This window comes from Homo sapiens, chromosome 4 (assembly GCF_000001405.40).
Source record: "Homo sapiens chromosome 4, GRCh38.p14 Primary Assembly".
Taxonomy (NCBI): Eukaryota; Metazoa; Chordata; class Mammalia; order Primates; family Hominidae; genus Homo; species Homo sapiens.
This window is the reverse complement of record NC_000004.12, coordinates 47645076-47658769: the sequence shown is the minus strand read 5'-3', so window position 1 is coordinate 47658769 and position 13694 is coordinate 47645076. Positions and strand designations below refer to the sequence as shown.

At 40.6% G+C, this 13694-nt stretch overlaps 1 protein-coding gene and 1 non-coding gene across 4 annotated transcripts in view, besides 1 other annotated feature; one reads left to right on the top strand and one right to left on the bottom strand.

Moving 5' to 3' along the window:
- The window catches only part of CORIN (corin, serine peptidase), a 244067-nt gene that overhangs the window by 179298 nt on the left and 51075 nt on the right, over window positions 1-13694 (top strand). For all 3 annotated transcript variants that reach the window (NM_001278585.2, NM_006587.4, NM_001278586.2), the window contains 2 exons: window positions 5110-5217; window positions 13576-13689. In NM_001278585.2, the coding sequence (NP_001265514.1) occupies window positions 5110-5217; window positions 13576-13689 (222 nt within the window). The remainder of the gene's footprint in view (window positions 1-5109; window positions 5218-13575; window positions 13690-13694) is intronic.
- Window positions 6027-6101, bottom strand: MIR8053 (microRNA 8053). Its single transcript, NR_107020.1, has one exon. It is a non-coding gene; the product is annotated as a microRNA 8053 (primary transcript).
- Window positions 7042-7585: an enhancer, noted in NCBI's record as "NANOG hESC enhancer chr4:47653202-47653745 (GRCh37/hg19 assembly coordinates)". NCBI's record gives its function as "activates a minimal SCP1, AML or CMV promoter by ChIP-STARR-seq in naive H9 embryonic stem cells {active_cell/tissue: H9 hESC(naive)}" and the evidence as "EXISTENCE:reporter gene assay evidence [ECO:0000049][PMID:30033119]".

Here is a 13694-nt window from a genome sequence, read left to right as displayed (position 1 = left end):
GTATAACCAAAAGGGAGCAAAGAGCTAAGACAATGGGAAAAATGCCTTGAAGGCATTTCAGAGATCTCCCAGGCAGCCCCTCCCATCACAGACCCTAAGGCCTAGGAGGACTGAATGGTTTTATGGGCCAGGCCCAGGTCCCCACTGCCCTTTGCAGCCTTAGGACACTGCTCCCTGCATCCAGGCTGCTCTACCTTTAGCCATGGCTCAGAGAACATCTGTCAGAGCAGTGCAGAGGGGAAACGTGGGGCTGGAGCCCCCACACAGAGTCCCCAATGGGTCACTGTTTCATGGAGCTGTGGGAAGTAGGCTTCTGCCCTCCAGACTCCAGAATGGTAGATCCACTGGCAGCTTGCACCCTTTGCCTGGAAAAGCTGTTGGCACTCAACAACCTGTGAAAGTAGCCATGGGGACTGAACCCTGGAAAGCCACAGGGGCAGAGCTGCCCAAGGCCTTAGGAGCCCACCCCTGTACCAGTGTGCCCTGTATGCAGGATATGGAGTCCAAGGAGATTATTTTGGAGCTTTAAGATTTAATGACTGCCCTGCTGGGTTTTGGGCTTGCATGGGGCCTGTAGCCTCTTTCTTTTAGCCAATTTCTCCCTTTTGAAATAAGAATGTTTACCCAATGCCTGTACAGCCATTGTATCTTGGAAGTAAATACCTTCTTTTGATTTTACAGGCTCATAGGTAGAAGGAACTTATTTGGATTTGGGATAAGGCTTTGAATTTGGGACTTGGGACTTTTGAGTTAATGCTGGAATTAGTGAAGACTTTGGGGGAGCAACTGAGAAGAGATATTGTATTTTGAAATGTGAGAAAGACATGAGATTTGGGAAGGGGCAGAGCAGAATGAGGTAGTTTGGATATTTTTCCCCACCCAAATCTCATGTTGAGATGTAATCCTAGTGTTGGAGGTGGGGTCTGGTGGGAGGTGTTTGGATTATGGGGGCAGATCCTTCATAAATGGCTTGAACCATCTCTCACTCTGAGTTCACAGGAGATCTGGTCATGGTGCCTCCTTCCAACTCTCTCTCTCTCTTGTTCCTGCTTTTGCCATGTGACGTGCCTGCTCCCCCTTCACCTTCTGCCATGATTGTAAGCTTCGTGAGGCCTCCCTAGAAACCAAGCAGACTCTAGGCCTCCTTTAAAGCCTGCAGAACCATGAGCCAAATAAACCTCTTTATAAATTATGCACTATCAGGTATTTCTTTTTCTTTTTTTTTTTTTTTTTTGGAGACGGAGTTTCGCTCTGTCGCCCAGGCTGGAGTGCAGTGGCGTGATCTCCGCTCACTGCAAGCTCCACCTCATGGGTTCTCGCCATTCTCCTGCCTCAGCCTCCCGAGTAGCTGGGACTATAGGTGCTCGCCATCATGCCTGGCTAATTTTTTTTGTATTTTTAGTAGAGATGGGGTTTTACTGTGTTAGCCAGGATGGTCTTGATCTCCTGACCTCATGATCCACCCACCTTGGCCTCCCAAAGTGCTGGGATTACAGGCATGAGCCACCACGCCTGGCTGGTATCAGGTATTTCTTTATAGCAGTGCAAGAATGGCCTAATACACATAATATGGAAAGTTTAACAATATTGATTCTTCCAATCCATGAACATGGATTATCTTTCCATTCTTTATATCCTCTTTAATTTGTTTCATCAGTGTTTTATGGTTTTCATCACAGAGACCTTTCATTTCTTTGATTAAGTTAATTTCCAGGTATTTTATTTTATTTGTGGCTTTTGTAAATGAGGTTACTTTCTTGGTTTCTCTTTCACATTTTTTGTTGTTGGCATATAGAAATGCTACTAATTTTTGTATGTTGATTTTGTATCTTGCAACTTTACTGAATTTGTTTATCAGTTCTGTAGCTTTTTGGCGGAGTTTTTAAGTTTTTCCAAACATAAGATCATATCATTTGCAATCAAGAATAATTTGACTTCTTCATTTCCAATTTGGATGGCCTTTATTTCTTTCTCTTTTATGACTGCTTCAGCTAGGACTTCTATCACTATGTTGAATAACAGTGGTGAGAGTGGGTATCCTTGTCATGTTCCAGATCTTGGAGATAAGGCTTTCAGTTTTTCCCCATTTAGTTTGATACTAACTGTGGGTCTGTGAAATATGGCTTTTATTTTGCTGAGCTATGTTCCTTCTTACCCAGTTTTTTGAGGGATTTTTTTTCAGGAAGGGATGTTGAATTTTATCAAATGCATCAACTGAAATGATCATATGATTTTTGTCCTTCATTCTGTTGTTATGATGTATCACATTGATTGATTTGCATATGTTACATCACTCCTGTAAATCCTAAATGGTCACCGGGAGCGGTGGCTCATGCCTGTCTTGCCAGGACTTTGGGAGGCTGAGGTGGGTGGATCACCTGAGGTTGGGAGTTCAAGACCAGCCTTGCCAACATGGTGAAAACCTGTCTCTACTAAAAATATAAAAATTAGCTGGGCATGGTGGCAGGCGCCTGTAATCCCAGCTACTTGGAAGGCTGAGGCATGAGAATCACTCGAACCTGGGAAGTGGAGGCTGCAGTGAGCCAAGATCATGCCATTGCACTCCAGCCTGGGCGACAAGGGAGAAACTCCATCTCAAAAAAAAAAAAAAAAAAAATCCTAAATGGTCATGATGAATGACCTTTTAATGTGTTGTTGAATTCAGTTTGCTGGTATTTTCTTGAGGACTTTTATGTCAATGTTCATCAAGGAAATTGGTGTGTAGTTTTCTTTTTTTTGATGTGTCTTTGTCTAGCTTTGGTTTCAGGGTAATACTGGCTTTGTAGAATGAATTTGGATGTATTCCTTCCTCCTCTATTGTTTGGAGTAGTTTGAGCAGAATTGGTACTAGTTCTTCTTTAAATATTTGGCAAAGTTCAGCAGTGAAACCACTGGGCACCAGGCTTTTTTTTTTTTTTTTCTGCTGAAAGACTTTTAAGTATTACTTAAATAGCATTACTTGTTATTGTTCTGTTCAGATTTTGGATTTCTTTATGGTTCAATCTTAGTAGGTTGTATATTTCTAAGAATATATTCATCTCTCATAGGCTTTCCAATTTATTGGTATATAGTTGCTCATAGTAGACTCTGATGATCCTTTGAATTTCTGCAGTATTGGCGCCCAAGCCACAAGTCAAAGTTCTTCTCACTCTTCCTCTTTCCACAGAGAGGTAATGGAAGAGTGCTAGTGGTTTTTCCTCATGATCACTACCACCCCAGGTCTATGACAAGTACTACCAAACCACAAGTGTTCACTCAAGGCCCAAGGGTTCTTCAGTCAGTCTGTGGTGAATGCTGCCAGGCCTGGGACTCTCACTTCAGGACAGGGGGCTCCCCTCTGACTCAGGGCACATCCAGAAATGTCATCCAAGAGCCAGGGCTTAGAATTAGAGACCCCAAGAATTCACTTGATGTTCTACCCCGCTGTGGCCAAGCCTGGTACCTAAGCTGCAAGACAAAATCCCTTTTACTCTTCCCTCTCCTGTTCTCAAGCAGGAGTTTCTCCCTGTAGCCATCACAGCTGGGAATGTGCTGAGTTACACCTGAAGCCAGCCCATCTCAGAGTCTCACCGAAGGCTCATGAGAAGTACTGCCTGAGTACTGCTACTGATTATTCAGGGCCCAAGGGCTCTTTAGTCAGCTGGTAACTAATGCTGCCAGGGCTGGGCCCTTTTCTTCAAGGCAGTGGGTTCCCTTTTGGTTGAAGATATGTCTAGAAATGTCTGGAAGCTAGGGCCTGGAATGGGGGCCTTAGGACAGGACTCTGTCTGGTGCCCTATTCTACTGTGGCTAAGCTGATATCCAAGTTGCAAGACAAAATCCTCTTTACTCTCCCCTCTCCTGTCCTCAAGCAGAAGAAAGGAGTCTCTTTCTGAGCTGTGAGCTGTGCCTGCCTGGGGTTGGGGAAGGGGTGGCACAAGCACTCTCTTGGCCACTCTGCGGCATGCACTAGGTTGCATGCCCCCAAGTCCACTGTCTCCAAGCCCAGCACAGCATCAGGACTTGCCCAAGAATTGCAGTCCTTGTGAGCTAGACTGCCTTTCAAGTTTATTAAGGACCCCAAAACACTTTAGCCTGTGGTGGTAAGGCTTGCCAGAACTTAAATTCTGACCACTGGGATGGGTGATTCCCCTTTGGCTGGGGTTCATCTAAATGCTCCCTCCATGCATGGGCACTGGCTGAGCTCTGCCTGGTGTTGCTTTCTGCTGTGATAGGACAGCACTGAGTTCCAATGCAAAGTCCCACAATCACTCCACAAGTGCACAGATTCTCTGTGCTATGCAGCTCTTGCTGGGGAATGGGGGAGGGGTGGTGTTGGTGATTCAAGACTGTCTTTCCTACCCTTGTCAGTGCCTTTTTCAGTGATCTGAATTTAAAACCAGGTACTATGATTGCTTATATGATTTTTAGTTCTTATGAAGGTGCTTTTTTGTGTGGATGCTGTTCAGGTTGGTGTTCCTGCAGAAAGGACAATTAGTGGAGGCTTCTATTTGGCCATCTTGCTCCATCTTCCCCCCAAAAAATCATTTTAAAATTAAAAATAATGAACTCAGAGATGAGTTTAATTAGTACTCCAGGTGTTTTTTAAACTGTACTTTACTCACAGAGCCCATTATGTATGGATGCTTTTATACTAGTGATCCTGAAGGCAAAGGTGAACATCAAACCTTGGTTCCTTCAAGTAAAAAACATTTGGGGACCATGGCAACATAGGATCATTAAGTACAGAAATGGAATTGTGGACTAGGTGGAAAGATGGGGATGTGAAAATGATTTTGACACATTGAGAGCCGCTAGGTAGTCAGGAGCACTGACTGCACAAGGCATATCAGGCTCTGGCAATTGTTGGGTTGTCCCATTTGGAAAGAAAATTAATCATTGGAATACATAGATGTTAAACCGCGTATCTAGAGGGATGAGGCCAAGAATGAAGGAGAAAGATGCTGATTGGCAGGCAGAAGAATGCCAAAGCAAAATGGCTATTTCGTTTTGCAAGAGACCACCCTTATCTTCAGTAAAAGCTCCTTGACAACATCCTACATGTAAATACATAAATTAGCTGATGTTTCTGGGTTTTCAGCCCTTTAACAGTAATATTGTTTTTAATAGAATGCTCACCTAGTCATTTCAAGTGCCGCTCAGGACAGTGTGTTCTGGCTTCCAGAAGATGTGATGGCCAGGCCGACTGTGACGATGACAGTGATGAGGAAAACTGTGGTATGTATGTGCAATGGTACTTTTCTTGAATGTACAGTGATAACTAGAATAAAATAAGAAACTGTGTTAAAAATGGAAACTATTCACTGATAGTAGGACTAGGATTCAATGCTAATGTCTTTACTTCTTAAATTATTGAACAGTATGGCATATATTTTAAGTGTTTTTCCTGACTCTTGATTTCCTCTAAATTGCACTTCTATATAACCCTGATACATACAGTACCCCTCCCCCTTATCCGTAGGGATATGTTCCAGGACCCCCAGTGGATACCTGAAACCATAGATTGTATGGAACCCCATATATGCAGTACTATGCTTTTTCCTACACATATGTACCTATGATAGAGTTTAATTTATAAATTAGGCACAATGAGAGATTAACAACAATAATAAAATGGATCAATTATAACAATGTACTGAAAGAAAAGTAATGAGAATGCGGTTTCTCTCTCTCTGTCTCAAAATATCTTATTGTATTGTGCCAACATTTTTGGACCATGCTTAACCAGGGATAACTGAAACTGTGGAAACTGAAACTTCAGATAAGGGTGGAGGGGCACTACTATATTTGCAAACACTTATTAAAAGGAGAAGCACCTCACAAATGTAAAGAATTATTTTTATTATTAAATTATAAAGCCATTGTTATCAGTTTTAAAGCCAGAATAATAGTGTCTTTGCGTATGCTTCCCATGTTGCTAAATAGACATCTAGATGCATGAAGGCAGAGTTCATACTCCAACATTCAGAGTTCAGACTCCATCATTCCCAGTCTAATTGGGATTCATTTTCATGTCCTCTCATATTTTTTCTCTTTCGGCAAAGGATAAAACTCTTCTTGACATTTCTGCCATTGAGTTCCAAAATCGCCAGTGGAAAAGCCATAAATGCCAATGGTAATTTGAGTGGACTTAGTTGTCATTATATTTCCCTGCAAATCTTTGTACTTGTAACCACAATGTATTAGGGAATAGAAGTCAGACAATGGTCTTTAATAAACAGTGTTTTTGAGGAAAGCAAAATGATTGAAGATCTATCCACAGAATTGTTTGGTTATGATTATTTAGCCTTTCCTGTTTAAGAAGAATTGACACTTTCATGACAAGCACGTAAGGCAGTACATCTTTTGAAATAATTTCATTCTTTTGGCCTTTGAAGTATGAAATATTGCGTTGCTCCATTAAGTGAATTTTAGGTGGTAAACATTGCCCTTCTGATCTAGACAAAAATGTCACAAGCAATCAACTGAAATCCTGTCAGCTCCTATAAATATGGACTAATGCATCTTCTGGAAAACTTCAGCTGTCAGAATGATGGTACAATGTCTGGGGTAATTTTGTTATGGAGGAATGTACAGTGTTTTTAGAAGCTACTGTTGTTTGCTTGTTTGTGGTTTTTTGTTTTGTAAAGAAATAAATCAAAATTCATTGAATATACCTTATATAAGTGATTTATTGAGAATGTATTAGATTTGTTCACTGAACTATGACTTTGATGGGTCATGGTATTTGAGATGCAATTTAAAATAGATTATCTTAGATGGTTCAAAGAGGTTGCATGATACTTTGTTGGGGTGGCTAGACCTAAATTTGTTGTAGGGGACTAAATATTTGAGAAATACAAAAGCTTAGTTAAAAACAAAACAAAACAACTTTACCAAGACTAAAAGTTCTGAGTTCTAGAACATATTCTGCAAAAAATAAACTTAAAGTACTATCATATTGGTATAGGGTTTAAACGACCCTAAAATATCAGGTTTCTAGTTAAGTAATTGGTTTTCACCAGTATTTTAATCACACAATTAAAGGCACATCAAAATAATAGAATATATTGTCTAATCTCTATCAAAAATTAAAAATAATTGACAGCACTATTGAGAGCTCTAGTTAAGGAAAGTTAAAAGTGGGTAAGAAATAATACATTTGGAGTTCAATTAATTGCTCCAGCAGTACTAATTTATGAGAAGTTTTCCAAAGTGACTAACAATAGAAAACTTTACATACTTCGTTCCCCTTTGATACTTCTGCATGCATTTGAATGGGCTTGTTCAGTGATTTGGGAGGACACACCACTTCAAATCAAATAAGGAAGTCAGGTTGATGAAGGCTCAACAGAGGACTAATAGGAAGTCATCTGTTTCCATTTGCCTCCTTGCTGTTTGTCTTTCTGTTTTCGTATGTGCATAGGCACACCATCTGGTAATGCAAGCACCAGCTCCAGCAAAGCTGGGTTTCACCCCAAGCTTCTTGCCTTTCTGACTTATTCTGTCCGTTGTGTTATTAAGTGTTTGAGCTTTACTGAATAATTGGACAATTAACTATTCATTGTCATGAATCTGCAGCTCCCTCAGAATTTCTAACAAGGTTATTGAGTTTCCACTCAAAACAATACTTATTTAACTCAGTTATGAAATAAATATTGTGTGAGAAATTACTTCTTGTTTCTTTGGCACTTTTGTAATGGAGAAACATGATAACCAAAGCACTTAACTTATAAATACACTTTTAAAATATATGCATTAGAATTTAGCAATCAGTAATACTGTTCTTAAATGTCTCCAGCTCTTGTGGTAGATTTTTGCTGTTGAGGCTGCTTTGATTGTGTAATTGCCAATGTAAACAAGAGTTGAAAATGTCAGTACTAGAAAAGTTTTCAGCAAGTGTTGGGATGAATTGTGCAAATCCGATATGGGAAGGAAGTCTAAGAGACAGGGGAATGCTGAGCAGAATCTGCACTGTGTCAGTACAGAAGTACTGCATTGTCTTAAGGATGCTTAAGATGTCAATTACTGTATGCTTAAGTAATTGAGCATACATGATATAGATGGAGCTGCCTGTAAAACTAGCAACTTGATAAATGAGTTTATTTTCAACGTAACATTTTCCAAGCATTGATAGCCATGCAGTGGAGCATGAGGGAAAGACATGGGAAAATAAATGATCAAGAATGACATCAAAGAAAGGAGAGCTAAGGAAAACAACAAAGGGATTGTATGTTTCAGCTGTTCTATCACTCTATAGATTTGAGTGTGTGAGGCTGAGGTTATCTCTTGCTAGGCTTTACCTCCACGATTTGGGTCAGCTACAAGAGCAGGTGGTACCTGGGCTGTGATGCAAGCAAGCAGCAACTCCCAGTGGAGCAGTCACATGAAAATATAGCTACAACAGGTGCTTTATATCGACTGTCAAAATAAAATCCTTTATTACATGAACACAGAATCAAAATTACTAATTGATCACTATTCTAAGTAAAATGGTATACATCATATGGAGAAAAGATTGACAGCAATGCAAATGTCTGAGTGTCATTAAGTGACTTTCTGTTTATCTTCAGATGACCAAAAATCAGTTCTTCACCTATCTTTGGTCTCCTCTTGATCTTAAATAAAATAAAACCTTTAAATATAACCTGAGCCATTTCTTCAAGTCAGAATCCCCTTAGGTTGTATTAGAAGATCTGACTCTGATATTTACGGGTTTTACAGCTTGATTTCAAAGAGTTTCCAAAAGGCATGTTTTCTTTTTGGATTCTTGGATAGCATTTCTATGAGTTATCTCACAGAAGGGCTTAACTGGCTTTCTTAACACTCCAAATACTACCAGTCTCTATGCTTTTGTGTCTCTTTGTCTGGGGAGGAGACCACTCTTTGCTCTGTAGCTAGCAGAAGAGTGAGAGTCATTATGTCCATAGCTTTGGCATATCCACAAATGTGCTTTCAGGAGGAATTTTCAGGATTGATTTCTCATCACTCAGTAGGGTTTAATTTTCCATGTTAAGGGGGAAATTTTCTCCTTCCCTTTAAATACTTGGTTAACTGTTTCATCGTCTTCTGTGGTGTCTTGGGAAGGCAGGCTGGAATGGCAGAGTGTCCTGCGTAGACTTAGACTTGAATTTACATCCTTACTTAGCCTTAGAGGCTGTGTGACGTTTGGCCAGTCAGTTTACTTCTCTGGGTAAGATGCAGAGAACACCCACATTATCTCTCACAGCTTGGAATGCTTATAACATGCCCTGTTCATCCTCAGAAGCTAATAACTGGGAACTCACCTGCTGTGGTGGTGGAAAATCAGGAGGCGATTCCTTTCAAAGGCTGCCCCAGCCATCTCCCTTGAGGGAAGGAGTCCTGTCTAGCATAGTCTTGTTTCTGACAGCTGTTTATGGCAAAAGAGAGTGGGCTGGTCTGTCAGGCTAAAGCATGGGCTGGGGGAGGTCTCTGGCTCACATAGTAAACTCAGGTAGATGGATGGTGTCTTTTCCTGGAGATAGTGTTGGTTTTGGGTTGGATGTTCTCTCTTTTTAGGATTAGAGCCATGCAGTTTAAAGTCCCATCCATTCCTTCATCCTGCCTCTTTCACGGGAGACTGGGCCACCCATATGTGAAGAGCATGCCATAACAATGGCACTGCTAAGAGTGGGAAGTGACTCAGGAATTGGGTAGGCTGCTGCGACTTTCCAGCTGGATGGTGGCTGGATGGCCTGTGCTGGTATGGCTGCCCTGATAATCAGGCCTAGACCACAGTGGGAAGCAGGTCCTCTGTTCCAGCTGCTATAGCAGGTGCAGAGGCAGAGCCCTTTGCAGCCATGCTTTGAGGGAAGGGGCTTTGTTGTCCAGGATCCTGCATGCTGTAGAAGGCTCTTCACACCTGTTAGGCCTGTACTCTGGCTGCTACAGCTCCTTATAGGTCACATCCACAGCCACTTCCTGGGGCAGACACTGGTCCAGGATGGCTGGATCCAGACTGTTCCAGCCTTTGTCAGCTCAATAATGCAGTATTACCTTGTCTCCTTCCTCCTTGTGAGCGGCTCCACTCCAAAGGGTGAGAATTTAAAAATTTCATGCAGCTCAACTCAAGAGGATGAGTGGACCTACTTACTCTATAGCTGCATAGCTAAGAGATTCTTACAGAACAAAAAGCATCTGCTTTGAGGTGATTTGCTGACTTTATTTGTAATGACAACTGTTTTTATAGAGAAACAAGGTATTCCATTTGGGGGTGGGGGGGTACTGCCTCTGTCAGGGCAGCCTGTTTCACAGAGTTTTTGTGAAAATGAGAGATAGAGTAAGCAAAAAACCCAGATGAATGCTTAGCACACTTAGTGTGACCAGTCAACCAGATCTGCCTGGGACTGATGGGGATCTTTTGGAACAAGGGACACTTTGTGCTCAAATCAATTAAATCCCTGGCAAACTGGGGTGAGTTGGTGACTTTTTTGGAACACTGTATCCTCAATTATTGGTTGTTGCTATTGTCTCTGTGCTGGAGAGGTTATTATTCTGACATCAACAATTATTTGGTTTCATAACCTACAGGTGCATTAAACAGCCCATCCCATCCATGCCTGTTTTTAATTTTTGATGGAATCATATCCTTTTCCTTTTAGAATATACATTTAAAACATAATTGCACCAAAATGTCACTTTACAAAGAAAGTGGTTTCTTCTTAAAATAATACTATCTCCCATGTAACTAATATCTCTCTCTTTTTATCCTACTTCTTTTGTGCTCACTGTAACTCCACAAAGGAGGTATTATGCTATGCAAACTTTTATGAGAAAAGAGAAGACATGGAGAGGTGAAAAGTGAATGCTTATGGAGTATTCCTTTAATGTTTATAGCAACCCTATGAAGCAGGCATTATTATTTGTATTTAAGATGTATGGAAACCAAAGTTTGGAGAAGTTAAGTAACTTACCCAAGCTCACACAGCTAGTGAGATTTGGAACTAGGATTCAAATCCAGTTGTCTGACTCTAAAGCTGTGCTTCCACTGCTCCTACCCCTTACGCATACTTCATGTTCGCATCTTACAAAGGACTGCAACTGATGACTTGTACCTGGATCCCATCCAGATCTTTCTCCGTAGAGCTGTGATGTGGAGGGATTCAATTTCTCTAAATGTTAGTTTCCTCACTTATAAAATGGTGAGCATAATACTGACATTATAGTGTTATTTTAAGAATTAAAGCTAATATCTAGAATGTGGATACATAGTGGATAATACATGTTATCTCATTATCATCATTATTATTATTATTATTTGTGAGGATGCACTTTAGGCGGCCTTCTGTCCCAGATGATCTATTTCTGTGGTATTTCATCATCTCATTCCAAATGTCGAAGTTCTTCCTTGTAGTCTTAAGAAGAATGGGCCTTGGGAATCGTCAGGAAAAACTCATGCTATTTTATTTCATTCTCTATTAGCAAGTGGTATGTTTTGTGAGCAGAGGAGCAGCCCTGGAGAAGGGTCAGCACCATGCATGGAGTGTTGAGTCCTCTTTCTTGATGTCTTTTGCTCTCTGGTAGAATGAGCAGACTGTACCATTTGGCGGGAGCTGGGTCACAGAGGACAGGCTTCAGGCTCTTTCTCAAATCTCAAGAGACTCTTATTGTCAGAACTTTTCAGATGCTGTCTGGATCCTCTACTAGCTGAAAACTCTAAATAATGTCCCTGTGAGTTCTTGGAATGGATGTCCCTGGGCCTAAGACCCCCCCGGATTATCAGCCAGTGAAAGACTCTCACTATTTATTTCCTATATCTTTGGATGATGAAACACACTAAATCTAATTTTAGCTTATAGTAAGCATTTTGGGTCACTTATTTTTATAATTGTTTTTAATGAAAAGTTTGAAAACCAATTTTTTTTCTCATAATGGATTCCAAGAAACCTGAGTCAATCATCTACATAATTTATTCGACTTATTTGTAGTAGGTTAGATGAACAATAACATTGTTTAAGAAACTTCTTATTTGATCACTGCTTTGCATTTCACTGACCTTAAAATAAATTATATTTTCCTGAGAGCCAGAGACATTTTGTTCCTTACATGAAATGAAGTTCTACTTAAAACACACACATGTTGAGGGCCTGCTACATGCTAGCCATTGTTCTAGCCAAGGGGGTGGAAGGTACTCAAATTTTTTTTGCCATGTAGTCTCTTCCTTCATGTACTTCACGGCCTGGCCGGGGCCAGGGATCTGACCGGAATGACATAAACATATTAGACTCTTGTCAAACTTTAGCAGGCATATGAAATGCACTGCACATGAATCATCAATGGCATTTATTAAATACATCACAAGTGCTTGCTATTTCATAGGCAAATTACAGTTCAAGTTATTACATTAATGTTGTACAAATTATATTCATTTCTCTTATTAATTGATGAAGTTTCCAACTTTAGATCTCTGACTACCATAAAGTAATAGCTTTTGCACCTGGCTCTTAAACTAGTTTTGTTTGGCATAGAAGGAGCCTCTTTTGCTAAAAAAACAGATGGCCTCCTGATTTGTAGAATGAAATTACATTTTAAGGTGATATGCATTTAGATCACTAGACTTTGGCATATTTGCTTAAAAGCATAACATTATTTTATAGATAAGTCTTATGCATTGACAGCAATTTCACTCAGAAAGAAAAGGGAACAGTTAAAGATGAATGTTAATGTATGCTTTTAAATTTTTTTCTCCATGTCCCCTATGTCACTTTTTTTTTTTTTTTTTTTTTTGAGACAGGTGGAGGTTGCGGTGAGCCAAGAACGTGCCACTTCATTCCAGCCTGGGCGACAGAGTGAGACTTGGTCTCAAAAAAGAAAAGAATAGAAAATACATGAGAAAAGTGACTAGGGTTCTAATCCTGATTCAGTTATTAATTATATGGTTTTAAAAGGCAGAGTCTTGTTCTGTCACCCAGGCTGGAGTGCAGTTGTGCAATCTCGGCTTACTGCAACCTCCACCTCCTGAGTTCAAATGATTCTCCTGCCTTAGCCTCCCAAGTAGCTGGGATTACAGGCACGCACTACCTTGCTGTTTTTTGTATTTTTTAGTAGAGATGGGGTTTCACCATCTTGGCCAGGCTGGTCTCCAACTCCTGAGCTCAAGTGATCTGCCCACCTCAGCCTCCCAAAGTGCTGGGATTACAGGCGTGAGTCACTGTGCCTGGCCCCATATGTCACCTTTGATCTTCTGTTAGGAGAGCTGTACAATTTATATCACAATATGAATATTATTGGTTATTTCTACTTTCAAAATTATATTATTCATGGTATGCAGAGGTCAAAACTTTTTAAGAAAAAAGACATTATGCCTTTTTTTTTTTTTTGAGACAAAGTCTCGCTCTGTTGCCCAGACTATAGTGCAGTGGTGTGATCTTGGCTCACTGCAACCTCCGCCTCCCGGGTTCAAGTGATTCCTTGTGATCCGCCCACCTCAGCCTCCCAAAGTGCTGGGATTACAGGCATGAGCCACTGCGCCCTGCCAACATCATGCCTTTATAGCGTAATTTTTCTACATTGATTGAATTTATCATTATTTTCAATTCCACGTCTATTGCAAATAACCTTTTCTTCTGTCTCTAGGTTGTAAAGAGAGAGATCTTTGGGAATGTCCATCCAATAAACAATGTTTGAAGCACACAGTGATCTGCGATGGGTTCCCAGACTGCCCTGATTACATGGACGAGAAAAACTGCTGTAAG